This window comes from Homo sapiens, chromosome 14 (assembly GCF_000001405.40).
Source record: "Homo sapiens chromosome 14, GRCh38.p14 Primary Assembly".
NCBI lineage: Eukaryota > Metazoa > Chordata > Mammalia > Primates > Hominidae > Homo > Homo sapiens.
Window position 1 is genome coordinate 69,671,463 of NC_000014.9, and position 22,588 is coordinate 69,694,050.

The 22,588-nt window shown below is 44.2% G+C and overlaps 1 protein-coding gene across 1 annotated transcript in view, besides 1 other annotated feature; it reads left to right on the top strand.

The window, feature by feature from the left end:
- Positions 1 to 22,588, top strand: part of SUSD6 (sushi domain containing 6) — a 103,549-nt gene that overhangs the window by 59,867 nt on the left and 21,094 nt on the right. The window lies entirely within an intron of this gene.
- Positions 16,850 to 17,144: a silencer, noted in NCBI's record as "tiled region #2331; HepG2 Repressive DNase matched - State 5:Enh". NCBI's record gives its function as "represses a minimal TATA promoter and a strong SV40 promoter by Sharpr-MPRA in HepG2 cells {active_cell/tissue: HepG2}" and the evidence as "EXISTENCE:reporter gene assay evidence [ECO:0000049][PMID:27701403]".

Consider the following 22,588-nt stretch of genomic DNA (forward strand, 5'->3'; position numbering starts at 1 on the left):
TTCAGCCAACTCGTAGGAGGCATGTCTGACAAAGACTCCTTATTTCAGCAAGTCTGATGTACCGCGTGGGGTCCCATGTGGGTCTTATCTGGCGTCACAAATTCCATGGGGAGGCTGGAGGGTGTCAGAGGTTCTTAATTGCTTGGGGAAGGGAGAAGAGTGGAGGAGCAGCTGGCGTCTGGGCCCTTCAGATGTATTCCAGGATTTGTCCTCTTGGATCAGGCTGGGGTAATTGGAGAAGTTGGGGTGAGGACTGTCTGTGATTTGATGTGTTCAGGGGTGCAGAGAACTATTGTGACTTCCAGCAGAGATGTGTCTCAGGTTTCTTTGAGTGGCTTTCAGCAAAGGAACCCTTTCTTGGTGCTATTGTTCTCAATACCTTGTTGTTAGGCAGTTTAGAGGCTTTGCTGTTCAACTGGCTCCTCTCTCTGGCATTCAGAAAATCTGTCACCAGTAACGCAGACCCTGGCCTTGGAGGAATAGTTAAGATTGTGAATAATAGGATTAAGTGAGATAATATATGTAAAAGTCCCGGGTAAACAATAAAAGTCTATTTCAATGGAATGGATTATTATAATACTATTTTTTCAGTCAGCATCTCTTTTCTGAATTGCTCAGAGCACTTCGTTAACACTAACTGGTTAATCCACCATCCATCCCTGGTTGGAGGCTGGCATTTAATAGCCCCCCTTTGTATGCAAGATCAAACACAAGTTTCCAACAAACCCCCACATCTTGAGCTTGAAGCCCAAACCTATGGAATCGAAATCTAAAGCTTGGACTTCTAAATGTGATAATGCCTCATTCCTGGGAATAAAGAAGGTGAGAAGAGAGAGGAGGGATCATTAAAATTTTTTTTTTCATGAATAATTGGTCATGTCAGACAAGGCTGTCATAGTCAGGATTTTGAATGACCTAGAAGTCAGTCAGTCATTTTCCTCTGAGAAGCCAGAGTTCCTGCTGGAAATGAAACTTGATAGGAGCTGGAGAAGCAGAAGGCTAAGAAGAGCAGCTTTGGGGCAAAGAACAGGGAAGCAGAGAGGGGGCTGGCAGATTTCTTCATTCTGTCCTATTAGGCTGTGGTGGAAGTACTTGAGATGCCAGGTTCTGCATCACAGTGCTAACTGCCTGGCACATGGCAGTGGGAACACACTCTCCCCTCTGATGTGTACCAGGAAGTGTCAGGGGGACCCACAGCAGGTGCTTGGTGTATTCTTCAGGTCTCATGTTGAAACTTCACAGAGCACCCCCGAGTGTCCTGCTCAGGCCAGTTTTGCTGCAGACCAAGTATTGCAGTCCAGTTTGGCAGGGTGGGATCTGAGCAGATCAGCCTTAGGCCGACTCTCCAGTCAAGGAAAGGCCTAGGTGCATTGGTCCACCTGTGTCCCTTCCGAAGGCTGGTCTCACCAGCCTAGAGCTGGCATGAAAAGGTCCTGTTTTGTTCACAGTACTAGGTGAGGCCATTCAGAGTCATCAGGACCTTTTTCCAAGCTTGTACTTCCCTGCCTCTGGTCAAGGCTTAAAGGGCAGTTCCGTCCTCACCTTTTGTACTCTCTTGCACAGAGTCTTGAACCCTGGAAGCAGGAGGAGGATATACTGAGTTGGGAAGTTCCTCCTTCCTCCAGTGGCAGATGTGTGGGCTCCCAGGTTTGAAACTCTAGAGGTCATTCAGGTGTGCCAGTGAAGAGGCACATACTCATGAGAGAACCAACAGGCTGGACCTTGGAGGTTATTTGCACTAGTGAGTTTCAAATTTGAGCTAGCATCAGATTCCTCTAGAGGGCTTGTTAAACACAGATTGCTGGGTCCCATCCCCAGAGTTTCTGGTTCAGTAGGTCTAGGATGTGGTTTAAAAATGTGCATGTCTACCAAGTTCCCTAAAGAAGAACTTGGTAGACATGAAGCAGCAGCTGCTGCTGGTCTGAAGACCAAACTTTGAGAACCACCAATTTATACTTGGGCTGAAAAAAACCTGTCTGACTCTTTTCAGAGCAAATTTTGCTGAGGTGAGGACAGAGTGGGTGGAGAAATCTTGAACCCACTAGGGAGACAAGTGGCCCTCTCAGAAATAGGCTACTGCAGGTGGGCCAACCTAATAAAACTGAGAAGAGGTTAAGGGAGGATGCTGGCAGATGTATCTCTTCTCCATGCTGGTCTGGTCCTTGCATACTACCCTACAGCAAGGAGCCAGACCTGGTGAGCCCCGGGGCTGGATCATTTTCATTTCCTATTCTGCCCCCTGAGGCAGCAGTGAGTTCTAAAAGTCTGCATTTTCGGATGCCTTTCCTCAGTCTGGGCTCTGTGGTATGAAGAACGGGACCCTGAGCCGGGGTCCTGGGCATCGGCCCTAGCACTGCCTCTAATGGACAGTAACTGAAGGCACCTCATGTTACTCAAGGGTAATGTGAGTGTGGACTAGCTCTCTGGTGCCTTTTGTGCTCTGATATTCTGGGTTCTTTAATGATTTACCCTGACAGCTTCCTCCTCAGGGTCAGGAACTTCTGCTGGCTTGTTACTTGTTTTTTATTTTTTCCGTGTATGAGAACTTCTGTTGATCAGAATCCCATCCAGAGACTGGCTCGCCAAAAGTGAAACTAGAGACAAGTTTGGGAATTGGAGAGAATAACTTTTCTTTTTGGAGTCATTGGCACCTGCAGTTGTGCTGCTGCCATAACACCTGCCTACAGAGAGAATGACTGCATCACTGTCGTGCCTGCCTATCTTACCCCACTGCCAGCTTCACAGGCTGTCTGATCAGCTCTGGTTTCCAGGGTGCTCAGGATTGTTATTCGACATTCCCCACTGCCTGGCACAGTGTGTGGCTCATGGTAGGCCTGTGTGCATGCTTACTGGATGGATGGAATAAGCGGTTGTATCCAGCTACCTCTTCTTTTCTCGCTTCTTCTTAACTTGGTACAGTTGTCTTCCTTTGCCCTCCTCGCTTCCATCCTTCCTTCCCTGCTTCCTTTGTACTCATTTTTACTCCTCAGCACTCTGGCAGAGCTAGCATGTACGTCGAGTGCTTTGGGGGTTAAAAGTATACACAAGACAATCATAAAACACCCTATGCAAGCCATCTATGTGAGGGGTTCCTCCAGAGCTCCCCACTCTTCCTCCTTGTCTCTTCTGCCCACTTTGTCTAGGGTAGCTGGGAATGTTTTCACTGTCCTAGGGGAATTTGCTGTTCTTCAGATTGAATTTGACCCCGTTTTCAGCCTTTATTTCCCACCAGAGCCTGATGGTGTTTGTATTGGCAAGCCAGAAGACTCCTGGCTTGGAGAGAATTAGAGTTAGTACAGCCTGCCTGGCCCTGTCTTTTCAGCCTCTATCTGAAGGGGCAAAACAAATTTTTCGGCCTTGGTTAATTGTTACTTAGCCCCTCTGATCCAGCCTGGGCAACTTTCAGGTAGCTCAGGCACTGACTAGCCTGAAGTCTCTGTTGAAACAGGGAAGATTAAAGTTGATTTGATTCATTTGAAGTAAAATCAGCAGGCTTTTGATGATTTCATTAATTTCCTCCCTTCTGAACACCCTCCTGTTAGCAGTAATTGGAAACCCTGACTCTGTTTCTCATTTCCCCCCCACCCCTCTGCTTTAATCTGAGACAACTGGAAACTGCACTCAGCTTTTTCATTTACTGGAAGAATGGTTTGAAGATGGTTTTAATGACTGGCTTTGACACTGTTTCCAGAAGCTGAGACTGTTGCCGTGCTTAAGTTCACACCTACCTGGGGGCCTCAGTTTTGCTCACCTTGCTTCTATAAAACTGCTTAGTTCTTGGTGTGCAGGTGGAAGAGGGTCCCCATGAGAATTCTCTTTTTATCCCAGGCAATATATATGCAAGCTTTTCATTACTCATTTTCATCACTCAACATTTACAGACTGCCTGGGGTGTGTGCCAGGCACTGTCCTAGTAACTGAGTGTGTTCCCAGCACCTCCTCCTGGCCCTGGTGGACGTCCAGAGGACTAGGTAGGTGAGATTCCAGCAGGATGGTGGCTAAACTCAAACCTTGGGAACTGTAGTCTCTGGGGCTTTCTTTCTCTATCTGTTTTTATAGTTGCAACTTCAGTTTCTGTGCTTTTTTTTTTTCTTGGGCCTGAAGAGGAATAAATAATATGAACCACCACTTGATGTCAGAGAAATAGCAGGTAGCAATAGCTGCAACAGCTAATCACTATTGGCAGTTGACAAGATGTACAAACACTTGCTTGTATATCATGTCATATTGTTGTCCTCACGGTAAACCATCACAGCCAGTAAAGGACAAAGCCAGAATTCAACCTAGGCCTTCCCATTACAAATCAAATACTTTTTGTTTATTATTGTTATTATTTTTAGAGATGAGGTTTCACTGTGTTGTCCAGGCTGGTCTAGAACTCCTGGCCTGAAGCTGTTCTCCCACCTGAGTGGCTGGGATTACAGGTGGGAGTCACCATGCCTGGCTCTGCTTTTTGTACTATGTTGTTTTGTTTGATGGTTTGGTTTTGTTTTTAACGCTGACTTCCCATGCTATTGTCTTTAGTATGACTTCAACCACTTAAGTGTTAAGAACCTATTATGTATGCATTGGGTCTTGTACAAGGAAGTCAGGGTCTCACAGTCTAATGGGGGGAAAAGATAAGACAATTCATCTTAGTTGCCCTTGAGTGATTCAGGTACTGAATGCTATTAGAAAGAAGAGAATTAACCCTGATGTCTGTCTAGGGAGGCTTCCCCAGAAGAGCCAAGACTTGAATTGGGCATGGTGGAAAGGCAATACTCAAACCAAGAGAGAGGTGAGGAGGAGTTTTGGTTCCTATATGACTACCTCAGACTCGGGGATACAAAGAAGGTGGTAAGGTTTGTTTCCTTCTTCAGACTTAGAAAACCAGTATCCTCTGGGGTGATGCTCCTCCAACTTTACTGTGCTTTTTCTTTTTTTTTTTTTCCTTTTTGAGACAGGTTCTTGCTCTGTTTCCCAGATTGGAGTGTGGTGGGTAATCACGGCTCATTGCAGCCTCCACCTCCTGGGCTAAAGCAGTCTTCCCACCTCAGCCTTCTGAGTAGCTGGGACTACAGGTGCATGCCACCATGCCTGGCTAATGTTTTTATTTTTTAAAAAAATTGTTTTTTTAGAGATGACATCTTAGTATGTTGCCCAGGTGGGTCTTGAACTCTTAGGCTCAAGCAGTCCTCATGCCTTGGCCTCCCAGAGTGCTGGGATTATAGGCATGAGCCACCGCCCACAGCCTTTACTGTGCTTTTTAAAATGAGATTCCCACATATTTTGCCCACAAAGAACCATTTAGTAGATCTCTGTACAGCCCAGCAATCTGCATTCTTTAAAAGTTTGCTAATAATGTAGAACAGTTCCCCAGCCTCTCAAGGTCTCCTGCCTGAAGAGAAGAACCGAAAGGTATAGATTTCATTTGTTCCTTTCCAGAGGCAGAAACTGTTTGGTCAGTCAGCTGCTCCCGTTATTATGGTGAAGGTGGTGAGGTGGCCCAGGCTTTGAGAAACACCATAACCCAAGGTGTTCTCATGCCCTTAGTGTTGCAGAAAGCATTAGGAACCAGGGACCTGGGTTTTGATATCATAGAGGTCTTACTTGATGAGAAGAGGACTAAGAGTGTTTAGGATGAAACCAAGGAGGAATGGGGACAGTGGATAATAAATTGTGTAAGTTAAGTTGACTCTGACAGCACCTGGGTCAGTCTGTCTGCCAGCTTGATTTGAAGGCAGGTGGGGAAACCCACTGAGTCTGAGTACCTTTGAAACAAAGTTCTGGCCTTGCTCAGAGTTACTCATGTTACTCTGTTACGCCGGGCGTGGTGGCTTACGCCTGTAATCCCAGCACTTTGGGAGGCCGAGGCGGGTGGATCACAAGGTCAGGAGATCGAGACTATCCTGGCTAACACGGTGAAACCCCGTCTCTACTAAAAATACAAAAAAAATTAGCTGGGCGTGGTGGTGGACGCCTGTAGTCCCAGCTACTTGGGAGGCTGAGGCAGGAGAATGGCATGAACCTGGGAGGCGGAGCTTCCAGTGAGCCAAGATCACGCCACCGCGCTCCAGCCTGGGCCACAGAGTGAGACTCCGTCTCAAAAAAAAAAAAAAAAAGAAAAGTGTTTTTACAGACCTGTTTGGTAGCTTAGCTTTCAGATGACTGTTTTGCAGAGGGGAGTGGGTGGGGTGGGTGGCAGCAGTGGAGACAGCTGCATGGTCAATCAGGGGGTGAGTAGAAACAGATCTGCCAGAGGATTTAGCAGTCTTGATGAATCTAATTATTTATTTCTATATTTTGTGACCATATGGTACCTAGGGTGGTTATAAAGATTAGAAAACAATCACCAAGTTACCAAATACCCTGTTAAGAAGTGATATGCCTTAGGTTGGAGGCATTGTAAAAATACTATAGGCGAAAAGAATTAACACTTATAAACATGTAATGTGTTCCACTGTAAACTTAAAAAATGGAGACGAGTGTAATCACACATGGATACTTGCCTCCCAGATTTAATATTTTGCCATACTTGCTTCAGACCTTTTCCTCCAGAGATGACCAGTATCCTAAGTTGATGTGCATCATTCCAACCATTTCTGTTTTTGGATACTTAAACCTGTATTCCTAAGAAATACAGAATATTGTTTTATGTGTTTAAAAATGTGCAGTGCATTTGGTGTTCCTGCTTCAACAGTGTTTGGATGGAACAGATCCAGGGACTCTCTTGGGAAAAAAAAAAAGTATGTAACCTTCCGTAGCATACTTTTTTCACTCAAGATTTCTTTTGACATTTGGCTATGTTAGTACATTTCTTTTACCTGCAGTATAGCATTCCATTGTGTTAATATAAGTGTATATTACATATTGTAACATAATTTATAATTATATATAATTATATAAATATATATTTATAATTATTGATTACAAACTATAGTTGTAAATTATATGTTGCAATTATTTGCAGTGATGATATGTAACAGTATAATTGTATTAATAACAAAATATTTATAACCATTCTCTCACTGATGGATCTATGGGCGACTCCAGTTGTTCACTGTTAAAAACAATGCTGCGGCTGGGCATGATGGCTCACACCTGTAATCCCAGCACTTTGAGAGGCCGAGGTGGGCAGATCGCTTGAGCCCAGGAGTTTGAGACCAGCCTGGCCAACATGATGAAACCCTGTCTCTACAAAAAATACAAAAATTAGCCAGGTGTGGTGGCACATACCTTTAATCCCAGCTCTTCGGGAGGGTGAGGTGAGAGGGTCACTTGAGTCCCGGAGGCCAAGGTTGCAGTGAGCCATAAATGTGCCACTGCACTCCAGCCTGGGCAACAGAGCAAGACCCTATCTCAGAAAAAGAAAAATAGTTAACAAAAGAAAAGAAGTTGTTAAAAAAACAATGCTGCAAGGAACATCCTTGTGCATGTGTCCTAAGCATGTGTGCAGAATTTCTCTGGTATCTACACCTGGCAGGAGAGTTCCGGATTGTTGGAAATGCACTTCAACTTTCTGCATATTCTTCACAGTAATTGTACCAGTTTACACTACTACTGATGTATAAGAAGATTCTTATATCTCCATATGCTTTACAACAACTGGTATTGTTAGGTGTTAATTTTTGCCAGTTTGATGGACATGAAATGGAATCTCCTTAAGGCTTTAATTTTGTATTTCCTTGATTATCCTCTCCCAATTTGTAGATTTTTTGAACTTTTCTTACGGCAGTGGTTTTCAAGGACCTTTGAGATCCTTTTAGGGGATTGACAGGGTTGAAATTATTTTCATATTAAGATGCTATATTACATACTAAGATCCTGTTTGCCTTTTTTGCACTCATTGTTTCATGAGTGAATAGTTGAGTTTACAGAAGCTATATGGCATGTGTTGTGATCATTGATGTTAACATCTGTGGGTTTATTGTTATTTTAAAATGAATTATAAATATGTAAAATTTTTAGTTCTATTTTCAAATATGGTAATATTGATAGGTGTAACACACAAATTCTTTGGGCATCCTCAATAATTTTTAGTAGTGTAAAGCAAGCTTGTTCAACCCACGGCCCATGGGCTGCATGTGGCCTAACACAAATTCATAAACTTTCTTAAAATATTATGAGTTTATTTTGCTTTTTTTTTTTTTTAAAGCTCATCAGCTATTGTTAGTGTTAGTGTATTTTATGTGTGGCCCAAAACAATTCTTCTTTCAATGTGGCCCAGGGAAGCCGAAAGATTGGACACCCCTGGTGTAAAGGAACCTGAGAGCAAAGAGTTTGAGAACCACTATTATTTTACTATGTCAATTTTTAAAATATTTTTTTCCTGTCTGGTAGGTTTCTTGTTTAAGAAATTATTTCCTATCCAAATTTCATAAAGATGGGCTTTTATATTTTCTCGTAGAAGTTTTGGAAAGTATTTTTATGGGTGGCGTCTGCCAATTCCCAGGCCCTTCAACCACTAGGAATAGTTTTTAATTTTATGCCTTCTCAGAAACACTTATATGGCCTGAATGGAACATCTTCCCTATCTGAATATAATTTTTTGGAAGGGCAGTATGTGGGAATAGGGATTTAGCCACCTTCTTCAGATCCCTTTTGTTCAAGAGAGCCTCCTAGCATTTTGCAGAGTTCAGCAGTCTCTCCTTAAGAATGGTGTACACTCTCATTTTGGATCCTTGGGTTCACTGGTTTTGCAGTTGGCTGTTCAGAGGCCCAGAACCCACCAGTGACAGGGATTCTGGAAGCAAAATCCCTCTCTGCAGCCCCTAACCCACATGCCCCAGTTTCCACTGGATACTTGAGTTTCTGTCAAGGCATCAGTGCCCTTACTCCTGGTTGTGTTTGTGCTGGAGTGGGAAGGTGTGTAGGCAGCTGACTGGTTAACTGCAGTCAAGGATATAAACAATGGCCTCCTCTAAGGAAAAAAATTACATTGCTGACATCCAAGGCCCCATCATCTCTCACCAGGCTCTTACTGGTTTCCGTGTCTCCAGTGTCTTTCTCACCCTTCTTCCCACAAATCTGTCTTCCACCCTGCCAGAATAACTCTCAGAATCTCATACTTGGCATGATGCTACTTCTCCTCTTAAAACAAAAGAAAACAAACTCAGGGTCCCATAAGACTTATGGTAAGGTCCATTCTTCTTAGCAATATAACCCTCATCTGTACTTTCAGCTTTCTTGCCAGCTGCTTCTGTATCCTATCCTCTGTCCTGGAATCTCACCAGGCATCTCATTTTTATTTATTTTCCTAGTATACTGTGGTATGTGCCCCCAAAGCCTTGCTTATGCTGTTCCCTCCAACTCAAATGTTGTTCCCCCTTTGTCTGCTGGGGGAGATCTTTTTTGTCTCTCAGACCCTACAAAACTCAACAAGTATGAATTCTATGAGGATGATTCCTTTAGTCTTCCCACTGATAGCCTTTCCAGTCAAAACGAAGACTCAGCAAAGTTATCTTGGTCTTTGTTGCACTTGTAGCTTTGTTTGGGGAAGGCTGATACATCTCCATCCCTTCCCCAAAAGTTTCCTACCCATAAATTTTATTTACAGTGTTGGCCCCAGTTGTTTTGCAGCCTAGTTCTTCAGTAGTTGCACAAAAGGAAGATGCCTTTTTTGTGGTTAAGAGCTGATGTTGATATCCTTATAAATTGTCTTCCTACATGCCTTTCCTTCAGGGAGGGAATGCACTGAACAGTCTGATGGCAACAACTAGTCCCTCACCCTTCGCTACCACCAATTATTGTGCATTTTGAAAAAGTAGTACATTGACATCTGTCATATTTTAAAAATGGTACATGAAATACGTGTATGCATTAATGCTGTCTGCAGAAAGGTCCTGCTCAGGGAAAAAATTCTGGATGGTGCTGTTTTTCCCATTTAGCCACACCTAGCCTCCTGCCTCCCCTTTAGCAGCCTAAAAAAATAAAACTTTATAAACCCTGGACATCTGTTAGACATGCAAATTAAGCAGATTAACTTATTTTCTGAAAGAGCTTTATAGCAGAAATCCACATGGATGTGGAGAAAAGGGGGCTCCTGCTTGGAAGACTGCTGACGTAAGTGGCCTGCAGTAGGAGGGTTGTGGTGGGCCAGAGAAGGGGACGGCCCCGTAGGGGGATCTGAAGTGGGAGACTTTGATTGCAGGAATCTTCATGTCATTGTTAACATCTGAAAGAGTTGACTTTCTTTGGCAACTTATTTATAGCCTTTTCATTACTTCTTGAGAATGGTCGCTATAAAGATGGGAAAAGTAAGATAGTAAAATGGGGGAAAAATTATTTCCTTGGCTCACATTGCAGTGATCATGGCAAAGGTAGGATTGGATCTGTTGCATGCTGCCTTTTAGTCTGTTGCAAACAGGCTAGGTGGGTATGAATTCTCAAGTTCATGAAAAGGGCTTACGGCTAAAGAAGTGGGGTCTGAGCACTCACAAATTCTGGGTTACTGTGTTAAATACTGTGTTAAATGTTGAAAAATATGTTTTCATATGGACATGCATCAGAGAGAAGTTTCTTTTGTGGGTAATGCTTGTCTTGTTACTTGAAGAGTACTGCTAATGTTGCTGTAATGTTTGATTAGTAGTAGTTTGAGAAATGAAATATAGGCCTGGTGGGGTGGTTCATGCTTTAATCCTAGCGCTTCGGGAGGCCAAGGTGGGAAGACCACTTGAGGCCAGGAATTCAAGACCAGCCTGGGCAATACAGCGAGGCCCCATCTCTACTAGAAAAAAATTCTGAAATTTAGCCATGCATAGTAATGCATGCCTGGAATCCCAGCTACTCGGGAGGCTGAGGCGGGAGGATCTTTTGAGCCCAGGAGTTTGAGGCATTGGTGAGCTATGATTATGCCACTGCAGTCAAGCCTGGGTGACAGAGTGAAAACTTGTCTCAAAAAAAGAGAGAAAGAAGAAGTGGTAAAATACAAGAAGTAATTAGGTAAGCCTTGCATATCAAGCAGAATGGTACCAATTTTCTCATTCTGCCCTACTTTGCCCATGTCTCTTCCCGTGGAACCCAGGCCCTCTGGCACATATGAGAAAAACAATCCTTGTAATCAAACCAAATGTATGAAATACAAATTTAAAACTCTCCCCAATTAAAAAAAAACAGAGTATAGTTATTGCAAAAAGATTTTGCCATCCACTGAAGGAGTCACTGTGCAATTGTTTTAAAGAGCAAGGGCTCTGGTTTATCTATAATAAGATTACATTTTCCCCTAATTTTTTATAATCACATTTGTTGTTTAAGGCATCTAAGAGAAAGAGAAAGTGGGAGGGTGGAGTCCCAGTGGCACCTTGGGCAATATCAGATGAAGTGTTTGGTTGAGACTGCAACTCTGAAAACTATGCTGAGTTCCACATCTGATCATAAGAAGTTGCCTCCCTTTTTTCCCCTGCAGCCCTGTCTCTCCTAGAACAGGCTTTGCCAAGGATGAAAAGCCTGAATGTCAAATCCTTTCTGTCTGCCCTGGCAGGGAAGCTGTTCTGTTTTCCAAGAAGCCTTTTTTTTTTTTTTTTTTTTTTTTCACTTGGGGAATTTTTACTTTCCTCTTATGGGAAGTTGCTTCATCATTTCCCAAAAATATACTGTACCTCCTGTTTAAACAGGGTGCCCTTGAAGAGCTCTGGAGCCTGAAGGGGGCTAGGGGTGTTGTGAAGTCCTTTGTTTCATGCTTTGATGTGAGCTGAAATGCAGGCTGTCTACAGGCAGAAGTCTCAGAGTTTGCCACGACTGGGGTCTGGAATGGGGTGTAGGAGGAGAGGCTCCCTGGGAAGCAAGAGCTGGGATCTTTTTAAGCATTTAGTTTATATATGTTGTGAGAGGTAACAGCCCTTCCAGACACAGACACCATCAGGTATTTGTCTAGTGCCTTAAATATGTCCAGGATGGTAAAGGTGGGCATTCTGCCCTTTTGAGGAGCTCATGAGGAGGACCATGTCACATTTAGAAATGGTGAACAAAATGGTATTTAACTACTAGATTGTGGAGACATAGATGCTTTTGTTTAGAGAGGAAGGATATTCCTGTAAAAGAGAGCACTAAGATTGGGCCTTGCATTATGGATTGGGTCTGAGTTGATGGAGGAAAAACTAGAGGATGTTGAGGGAGAGGGAAAGGAGAAATCTCTGAGAGGGGCCAGAAGGCTGAGCTGAGGCCATGATCATGGGTGAGTGAGGCCAGTGGGGGCTGCCTAGTTGGACTTGATGTTGGAGAAATGGAACAAGCCAAAGTGTGGAGACATGCATAGCCAGCAGAAGCATTTAGACTTGTAGAAAGTGGCAGCCTTTGGACGATTCTGAAAAGAAATCATCATGAGGAAAAATGTGTTTTGGGGGGAAGATTTGCATATGAGGATAAATTATAGTATGCCTCCAGGTGGGCTGCAGGAAGGAGCCCCAACTCTGTCCATGGTTTTTGGAAGGAGATCATGCTGTAAGATACTGGGAGGGGAAAATGGCCTGGTAGAAGTCTCTTTTTGTCTTGGGTGAGTGTGGTCCCATAGTGGTGCCTATGGCCCAGTGGCCTTCTGCAGTCCCCCTTGCAGGGCACAGCAGTTGGAGCCATCAGGTTGTTGCTGGCTGAGTAGGATCAGCTCTCAGGCACCACCCTAAGTAAAGCTTTGATCAGGCCCTGCTGCAGGTGGAAGTGATGTCTCCTAGCGGACCCAGTGGGGTCAAGCATAATGTGTAGCAGGTTTCAAGCCTCTGCTGGTCGTTGGAGAATGAGATTGGCCAGGAGATACTGTCCAGGTCCAAGTGACACCAGTCATTTCATGCCTAATCAGCAGTGAAAGTGCGGTTTCCTGAAACCTTTGCTGATATTGGGTGTTACTACCTTCCTTTGTGCCTTGGACCCCCTTAAAGATTTTAAATAAGAAATCTGATATGTAAAATAAAGGAGGATCAGTCAAAAAGTGTTCTTAGTAGAATATGTATCTAGCAGTCACTCTTTGTGAAAAATGGAAATTGGGAAAATATTTTGAGAGAGATTCTATCAGTGGGGACAAGCAAGCATAAACATGTTATGCTTATCCCAAGATCTATTAATTTCCAGTAGAAGTAGGGAGAGTAAATTATTGCCAAGGGAGATACTGCCCAGTTTTCTTAATGGTCAGAAAATGAATGACAGTTTCAATTTCAGCTGCTGTCCCTGGGCTGGGCCTGCTGACTTGCCCCAAGTGCCTTGGCACAGACCGTGGTGTGGCCAGTGGAAACATCGTGTCTGTAGCCCCGTGAATGAGCAGTTCCTCTTTGGGGGTCAGCTCAGCATGTTGCCAGGCCAGGGGGCAGGTCAGGCCGAGGCTCCACTGTTAGCCTTGACTTCCCCTGCCAGGAGATGTGGGGCCATTATGGCAGAAGAGGAGCTAAGGAGAAACACCTAGCTTGGAGCCTTGAGTCTTCAACTTTCACCTCAAGTTACTCTCCTTAAAGACCAGCACTTTCTTTCCCACTTTTCTTGAAAGCCTCTAGGTCCCTGATCCTGTTTCAAACTGCTGGTATATAAACTGCTCATACCACTCTGAGTTATCACTTTGTTAGGGCTGAGTAGCAGGGTGGCCCTTAAACAGGCCTGACTTTCAGTGGCTCTGCCCACGTTTGCAGAAGTCACAGTGGGAAATTTTCACATTTTTCTCTGTCCTTCTAAGATGGGACAGTTGAGAGGACTCAGGAAGGGTTGAGGGAGAAAGCAGCAAGCCCAGAGTTCAGAATCGGTTGCCTTGCAGCTTGTCCTTTTGTGGTGGGTGATTTCACTTGGTTTTTCAAGTGAAGGGCTGCAAGTACAAATGGACTAGCCCTAAAGGACATTACCCACATGCATAGAGCCATGAGGCACATTGATTGTTTCCCATAGGCCACTTTGCTCCCCGTTGAGGAAGGAACCATTGTGCTACTAATATTATTCCACTGCAAGGTCTGGCTGGAGGCATCTGCAAAGACTCTTCAGGGCCCTGATTGCACATTTGACAAGTCTTTTCCATCAACAAAGCATAGAGTTCGGGGAAACCCAGGATGAGCTGTCATTCTGAGTAACAGGCTTGTGCAGGTGCTGACTAGCTTGACTTCCCTTGATTCAGTGCAAACCTTGGGACCCTGGAGGCAGTCCTGGTCTCTTAGTAAAATGCAGGTGTGTGTGTGTTGCTGAGTACCAGAGATTTTGGAGCCTCGATACTTTCCTCATTTGTATGTGGACCTACCTAAGAATATATTTTCTCTAGGTTCACCAAAGTGATTCCGGGCCTTTAGGGCCAGGAGAGTAAAGGGTCAAGAAATCTTAAATTTGCTAAACCCGTGGTGGGGGAGTGAGAGGGTAGAAGTAGTGGGGATTCTGAAGCAACTCCAAGCAGTCTGCTTTTAAACATTTGTCATGGGAACAACCTGTACTCTGGTAAATTGTAAATTGACACCCCGATTGCCTTTGTGTAATGAATTTGGACTTTTGTGCAGCAGCTGAGAAAGAACCTCTTGAGCAGTCGTGAGGTGTGGCTGCCTGCCAGTCAGCAGCACACTCTGAGCAGCCTCGCCAGCTCCCTCTGTGCAGCCGCATGTGCTGCAGCGGTAACTTGCATTATCAGACCTTGATTTTGTAAGGATGAGTTGAAAATGGAAAAATGAAATGACTAATGGTAGTTGTAAGGGTAGGTCTTCTAAAGTTGATAGAATTGGAAGATTTTTAAATTCAATGAATGTGCCAGAAGTAAGAAATCTTTAGTGTCAGTTGAATACTCATTGACTTAAGTCAACAGCCCTGCTCAGTTGTGAAGAGAAAAAAACACACATAGCCAAAGAATAATGTCTAAAATGCCCAGGTTATGTTGTCCAAGATTGTCTCTAAAAGGCAGGCTATAATTAGATATTTTATGATCTTTTTTGGCTTTCTGAGTTGACTTTCTTATAATATGTAAACCTATTGTTTGACTATGAGGGTCCTTGCTAGGGAAGTAGGGGGACTACCTGCAACAGGTTCTGGTGTAAGAGTCGTGCAAAAACAAAGCCCTTTTTGTAAGTGTGAAAGGCCCTTCTAGAGCCGTGAGTATACATTATATTTTGACTGTATTAGTCTGTTTTCACGCTGCTGATAAAGACATACCCGAGACTGAGCAATTTACAAAAGAAAGAGATTTAATTGGACTTACATTTCCAGGTGGCCAAGAAAGCCTCCCAATCATGGTGGAAGGCAAGGAAAAGCAAGTTACATGTTACATGGATGACAGCAGGCAAAAAGAGAGCTTATGCAGAGAAATTCTCGTTTTTTAAAACCGTCAAATCTTGTGAGACCCATTCACTATCATGAGAACAGCATGGGAAAGACCTGCGCCCATGATTCCAGTCATCTCCCACCAGGTTCCTCCCACAACATGTGGGAATTATGGGAGCTACAAGATGTGATTTGGGTGGGGACACAGAGTCAAACCATATCATTGACCTAGTCTCTTCATGTATTAATTAATGCTTTTCCCCACATGTTGTACTCATTTATATGCTAATTTCTGCCATCTTTATTCTATTTAGATACATTTAGCCTATGATTTTGTTTTATTTTATTTTGAGTCAGAGTCTTGCTTTGTTGCCCAGGCCGGAGTGCAGTGGTGCGAACTTGTCTTACTGCAACCTCCGCCTCCTGGGTTCAGGCGAGTCTCCTGCCTCAGCCTCCCGAGTAGCTGGGATTACAGGCACCCGCCACCACACCTGGCTAATTTTTGTATTTTTAGTAGAGACAGGGTTTTACCATATTGGTCAGGCTGGTCTCGAACTCCTGACTTCAGGTAATCTGCCTGCCTTGGTCTCCCGAAGTGCTGGGATTACAGGTGTGAGCCACTGCACCTGGCCTAATTTTTGTATTTCTAGTAGAGACGGGGTTTCGCCGTGTTGGCCAGGCTGTTCTCGAACTCCTGACCTCAGGTGATCTGCCTGCCTCGGCCTCCCAAAGTGCTGGGATTACAGGCGTGAGCCACTGTGCCCGGCCTAGCTTATGATTTTAAGCTGTCAGATGGGCTTTTATTTAAAAGACTGGCCTGCTCAAACATTGCTAGCCTTCTATAACATAAAACCCCAGGTTTGGGGAGTTAAGAGAAAACCACCAAAAAATAAACCAGCTCTTAGACTGTGAACTTTCTCAAACTCTCTAGTTTCAATCCGTAACTGTGGGTAGGTAGAGTTGTTATGTATGTGCTTTAAACGACAAAGTTTTTAAGAAAAACTAACCAACATTCCACACTGGGGTACTATTATAATAGAGAAAAATCTCTCTAATTATAGCAGTATTGTGGGCTTCTCCCATGCCTGGCTGGCCACGACATGGAGTTGATAAGCATACAGTGTCTTTCGTACTTGCCGTTACAACTGTTAATTAAGAGAATTCAGCTGTGGCACCAGCTGGGGATGTCTGGCTTTGTGGAAGATTGCAATTAGATGCTTTTTTTTCTTTTTGTTTTTTTTCTTTTTTTTCCCTTTTCAACTTTGGTGGAATGCCTTTGAGTAGGGGCTTTTAGTCTCAGCAGTATAAATACTTTATAATGTGCCTAATTATGTAATTATACAGTTATACTCTTCTGTGTACACACACATTGTTTTATGAATTTGTATGCCCTTTTCTAATACATGAAACATCTAGCCTGCTTTTTGGTTGTTGTGGTAGAGCCAGACTCCTCTCTGCATTGGGCAGAAAGAAGAAGACTAGATGTATTTACTGATTAGCTTCTGATTATGATCTGCCCTACTTCTGTTCCTCTTCCACCTCCCTCTTGACCCTCTATCTCCCAAATAATTAGCATCTTAGTAGCTACCTAGCAAAGTCAAGGTAATTTGAATAAAATTGGATTGTATAATACTCTTATCTTTCCATTAGTTTGCAAATGTAGTCCTTCAAAGTGTGTAGTGTTATTTTTCCCAGTCCTCTGTTCTAGGCAGTTATAGAGCATGAGCCTGGACGTGAGAGCTCATGCATGCATGCAGGCACAATGGGACCCATTGATTTCTGGCATTCAGCTTGTGCATAGAGGACCTGTGACCCCAGCTGTTAGAACCAGGACCTGGGAGCAGCTGCTTTCTGGATCCAGTCCTCCAGGGATAGGCCATCTGCTGCCATGTGAGAGAACCCTGGAAAAGAAACTGACCACAAGATATCTTTGTATTCCTTTTCTGTGTGCTCCAGCCCCTTTAGTTCTTTCCTGTCCCCTCTCACCTAGGCAAACTTGAGAAGCATGATGAATCTGCACTGGAAAACTCGCAATGGATTTTCCGTTTTCTTCCCCTTTCCCCACTCCACCCTGTCAGCACATCCAGCCCATTGGAAAATAGTTTCCAGGGGATGTAGGCAGACTTATATGGGCAGCTTCTTCAGTGGGATTGGTACTATTTAGCAGGCTTTCATTTTATTATGAATAACATGGCTTTGCATTATAGGCCTAGAAGTGTCCTTAAAATCTCATCTCATGGAAGAGGAACCCAAGATTCCACATTCTTTAGCCTTGCATTCAGGGCCTACCCTCTTCTGGCACCAGCCTGATTTTCTAAATGTTCAGTTATCTCCTGCTAAACCTGGAAACATTTGCTAACTTCTCCGTACACATACCACCTCTTCTTGATTCTCTGCCTTTGTTTGTGCCTTTATGTCCCCCACCATGTTCTTCCCACTCTCCTTTATCCCCGTCATAATCCTTTATCCCGTACTCATGATCCTACTTCCCGTGAAGTTGGAGCTCTGATACCATTTCTACAATCTTCTTTGGTCTCTTCCCCATTGGATTAATCCTTCTTCAGAACTTTCTGTAGCCCATATTGATTTCTAACATATATCTATTATAGTCGTTTATTAGAAAGCTCCTAGAGTGTAGGACCAATATCTTTTTATCTTTCCACCTGCCTACCTTCACCTGCCACAGTGCTTTTGGTACTTAGTAAAAACTTGTTGAAAAAATGAATGGCAGAATTAAGCTGAGGGAAGAGAAAAAAAGAATGAATGGGTAAATATAATCCTTACATGGATTCTGGAAGAGAAGCAGTAGATATTACTATTATTTTAATCTTGTTGGGGCTCCTTATCTGTATTCCCAAAGAGACTGAAGTCTCCTCAAGGGCACACCATGTGTATTATTTGCCCTTGAATTTCTAGCAGCAGCCTAACACATAGTGCTTAATAGAAATTTGTTAAATTAATGAAGGAATTTGTTAGGAAAGTGAAACCTGGAGAGAATAAGAATCAACACTTGTAAATACTTTTAAAAATTTGTTTAATTTTTTGAGATGGAGTCTCGCTCTCACCAGGCTGGAGTGCAGTGGCATGATGTCCACTTACTGAAGCCTCCACCTCCTGGCTTCAAGCAATTCTCATGACAAGCCCTCCCGAGTAGCTGGAATTACAGGTGTGTGCCACGTTGCCTGGCTAATTTTTGTATTTTTGGTGGATACAAGGTTTTACCATGTTGGCCAGGCTGATCTCGATCTCCTGGCCTCAAGTGATCCGCCTGTCTTGGTCTCCCAAAGTGCTGGGATTACAGGCCTAAGACACCATGCCCGTGTTTTTTTACTCTCTTTTGAGTGAAAGTTATTAGTTATTAAACCTGCTGTCTGGAGGACAAGAGATTAAAGGTATTTTCTGTACATCAATGTGGCATTTAGACATAGTTATCTACCAACATGCAGTGTGTGTGAGGCTGTCCGAGGCATTGTCTTCTGACTGGGCATCTCAGACTGGTCAGTCAAAAGTGGCTTGCGAGAGACTAGGGTCCAAAGAGCCAAAGAGGCCATGACAGGTGACAGGGGCATGGTCCTCACCCTGATAAATAAGCATGGTTGAGACTCTACTCCTGACTGTTAGCTAGTTTAGGCCCAAGTTTCACTATTTTGAGGTTGTTTTGTTTTACTAGAGCCAGACCAATATGTACACAGGCTAACATCAAAGGCCAGTCCTAGACCTTCAGGGCCAGGCATCCATCCTTCTTTGGACTTTGCAGCAGGCTTGAATGCATTCCTGTTGTTTTTAAAGATCCTTAAAGAGGCTTAAATGTGGCTTCCTCAGAGAAAAGCATGTGGGAAGGATTCAAAGAGAAAGCTTGTAAGAGGAGCAGAGGGATCTTCCAGGAGCACGGTATGCTGAGCAAGATGCAAAAGTTCAAAGTAGTGAAGAAGAGAACTCCTAGGGGGATTTGACTCCTCACTGTCCAGAATCAGTTGGTGAAAGTTCCCCTCTGGAGAAGTGCAAAGGAAACCAAGAAGGCATGGCAAACTGCTTTTCCCGTGGTGGTCATTTGGGAGAAGGTGGTTTAAAATTTTGTGATTTAAGATTGTTCAAAACAGAGAATCTCATCCCGCACAAGATGAAGGAGGAAGAATATCCAGGTCAATGGACTTGGTAACTTCCGCTCCACCTGCCTGTGCACAGTGAGTACAGAGTTCCTTAGGCTTGTTGGTTTAGAGGCAATAGAGATGAGACTTGTGGCTTCGTCCAGCCTTCTCCCCCCGCACCAAAAAACCACACACCTTTTATTGTCTCTTTTGTATTTGTAGTCCCTGTCTCATGGTGGGACCCCACCCCCCAGAATGTACAGGGCTCACTTCATGGTATGCCTTAGACCCAGTCACATCTCTTTCTTCAGAAAAGACCATTCAGGGCTGGGTGCAGTGGCTCACATCTGTAATCCTACCTAGCACTTTGGGAGGTTGAAGCAGGTGCATCACCTGAGGTCAGGAGTTCAAGACCAGCCCAGGCAACATGGCGAAACCCTGTCCTTACTAAAAATACAAAAAATTAGCCGGACTTGGTGGTGTGCACCTGTAATCCCAGCTACACAAGAGGCTGAGGCATGAGAATTGCTTCAACCTGGGAGAAGGCAGAGGTTGCAGTGAGCCAAGACAAGATCGTGCCACTAGACACCAGCCTGGGCAACAGAGCAAAACTCTATCTCAAAACAACAGCGACAAAAAACCCATTCAGACCTCCACCCCTCAACTGCTGGTGTTTCTCAAAGACCTATGGTGTTTTGCTGATTTGGGGCCATTGCCTCAGTGGATTTCTGTTACCATCCATAACTAGAGTTTACTGGTGTTTCCTTTCTTTCTTTGCGGTTGTCTAGGCCTTTGTGAGTAGCAGTGGCCTGTTGAGTGCCTAAGAGAATCAGCACACTACCTGACCCCCTGTTTGGGAGTATGTGGCAGAGGCTGTTTATTTCAGGCTTTGGCAGTGATAACCCAGTGGCCCTGTGTGTTCTGGGCAGTGGCAGAAAGGTAGCCCTCTAATTCCAGGTCACATCCCCATTCTGCATTTAGTGACAACCTTCCTTTCACATATCCGTCTTAGAAGTCTTGTGTTCTCAGCCAGGCTTGGTGGCTCACGCCTGTAATCCCAGTACTTTGGGAGGCTGAGGCGGGTGGATTACCTGAGGTCAGGTGTTCAAGACCAGCCTAGCCAACATGGTGAAACCTGTCTCTACCGAAAATACAAAAATTAGCCCGGTGTGGTGGCACACACCTGTAGTCCCAGCTACTCAGGAGGCTGAGGCAGGAGAATTGCTTGAACCCGGGAGGCGGAGGTTGCAGTGAGCTGAGATCATGCCACTGCACTCCAGCTTGGGTGACAGAGTGAGACTCCGTCTCAAAAAAAAAAAAAAAAAAGAAGTCATGTGTTCTCAGCTGAAAATGCCTACATATCTTCTCCCACTTGCAACTTTGCTGTCTGTGATCCTTAAATAGCTCCATTGTGTGTAGTACACAGAAATTAGTGAAGGAAACTGTCCTGCCTTTTCCCTCCACTTCTCTGGAAAAATGTGGCCCCACCTGAGATATGAACTGAGTCCTCTGGGCACAACTAAACTCACCAGGCCATATTCTTCTCCAAACAGGAATTATAGCAGCTTTTGTCCATATGTATCCCACCCCTATGTTATACTTTGTAGGTCTTGGGGTAAATTTTTTTCTGGTGGCATCAGAAAAAATCAAGAAGCTTCCTTGTAGAAGGGCCAGCCAGAATTTGAATGCAGACTCTAGTACTTAGAATCCAGGTGACCTCAGTCCATTACTAAATTTTTCAGAGCCTCAGTTTTTTCTGAACAAATCAAGTTTTATACCACCTTCTTCCTAGGGTGGAAGAATTTAATAGGATAACACTTTTAAAGTACCAGTGCAGTGCCTGGTGATAAATGTTAATTCTCTTCCTTACTTGTATCCTTTTGGCAACAGAGATCATTAAATTTGTTTTAAATTTGATTGTGTGTTTCTTGAGGCCCTGCTGTGTATGCCTGGGACTGTACTTGGCATTAGGAGTTACCATTAGCTGGTAGGATTGGAAATGAAACCACAATTTTGGCCTTTGTACCCAAGAGTCCAACCCTGTTTTAAACTCTAAGCCAGACTCCTAAGTCAGTTATCACCTGCTCATCAGCTTTCCTTCTGAGCTGCCGTAAACAGCCATCTGGGCCTTTCCTGAGAGGACCAGTCATCTCCTCTGGGAGATGAGGAATTCTGAGAGGGGAGAGCAAACACATATTTTAGCTCAGGTAGGTGATATGGTGAAGGAGATGAGAACAAGAAGTGACAATGGCTGATGAGGAAAAAATAAGCATTCTCTGCTTTTTCTTAAGCCTTTAACTGCCACTGTCAAGGGAAACAGTAACACTTGCTAATACACGTGGAATAGCCTGGCTCCCTACCTCCATTGTCATCCCACCATCTGGAGGTGGAGGTAGGAGACAGCTGTGGGCTCTGCTCTATAGGTCACTGTACTGACCTATAGCAGTGGTAGTGGCTTTGGGCACTGAGTGGGCTAGCCCTGTACCTGGAGCAGCAGGATAAAGGAGAATGGTCCTCTGGCCTGCCCCTCCTTGTAGCAGTGGTAACAGTGGGAGGGGGAGGGGTTCCCAGCCCCAGCTGGCAGCCTGTTTCCCTGGGTCCCTGAGCTGCAAGAACAAGAGGAGGTGAAAGGGTAACAGGCCATATGGAGTCCATTTGTCAGCCAAGAGCAGCCTGGGCTGTATTGTCGAGAACGGGAAGTGAAAAAGGAGCCGGCTTATTACTGAACTGGAACAAGGAGAGAGCAAACAACACCCCCCAAAGTGCTTATCCTGCTCTGTTTTCTGCCTGCCCCCTCTCCAAATATCCAGAAATTTCTGAAATAATCCTTTTTCTTTTTACCAAAGCCTTTGCCCATTCCAAAAATCAGAGATAAGGGTTTAGTTTGCTACATGAAAATTTATCAGTGCCTAGTAATGTGCCAGGCATGATACAAGACCCTTTCAAGTATGCAGTTTTGTTAGTCTTCTAAAAAAACCTGTGGAGCTGGATATTGGCTGCTAAGGACTAAGGCTCAGAGGAGTTATGACAGTTGACAAGGCTGCAGAGCAGGCCCCTGGGTCAAACCCAGATTCATCTGTCTGACCCCCAAGACTATGCTCTTACTCCATGTGGCTCTGGTCCTGTTAGGTAGGCAGTGTATTTTCACAGTTAGGTACCAATTTGGAGAATACAAATTGTACCCTGGAGAGGGATGCTCTTTGCCGTTGTCTGTTATTGACTCATCTCAAATCAAAAATCATTGTGGCTCATTGCAGTTGAAAACAAGACAGTGTTTTGAAATAAGGACAAAATTTTGCAAGTCACGTTGGTTTTCTACT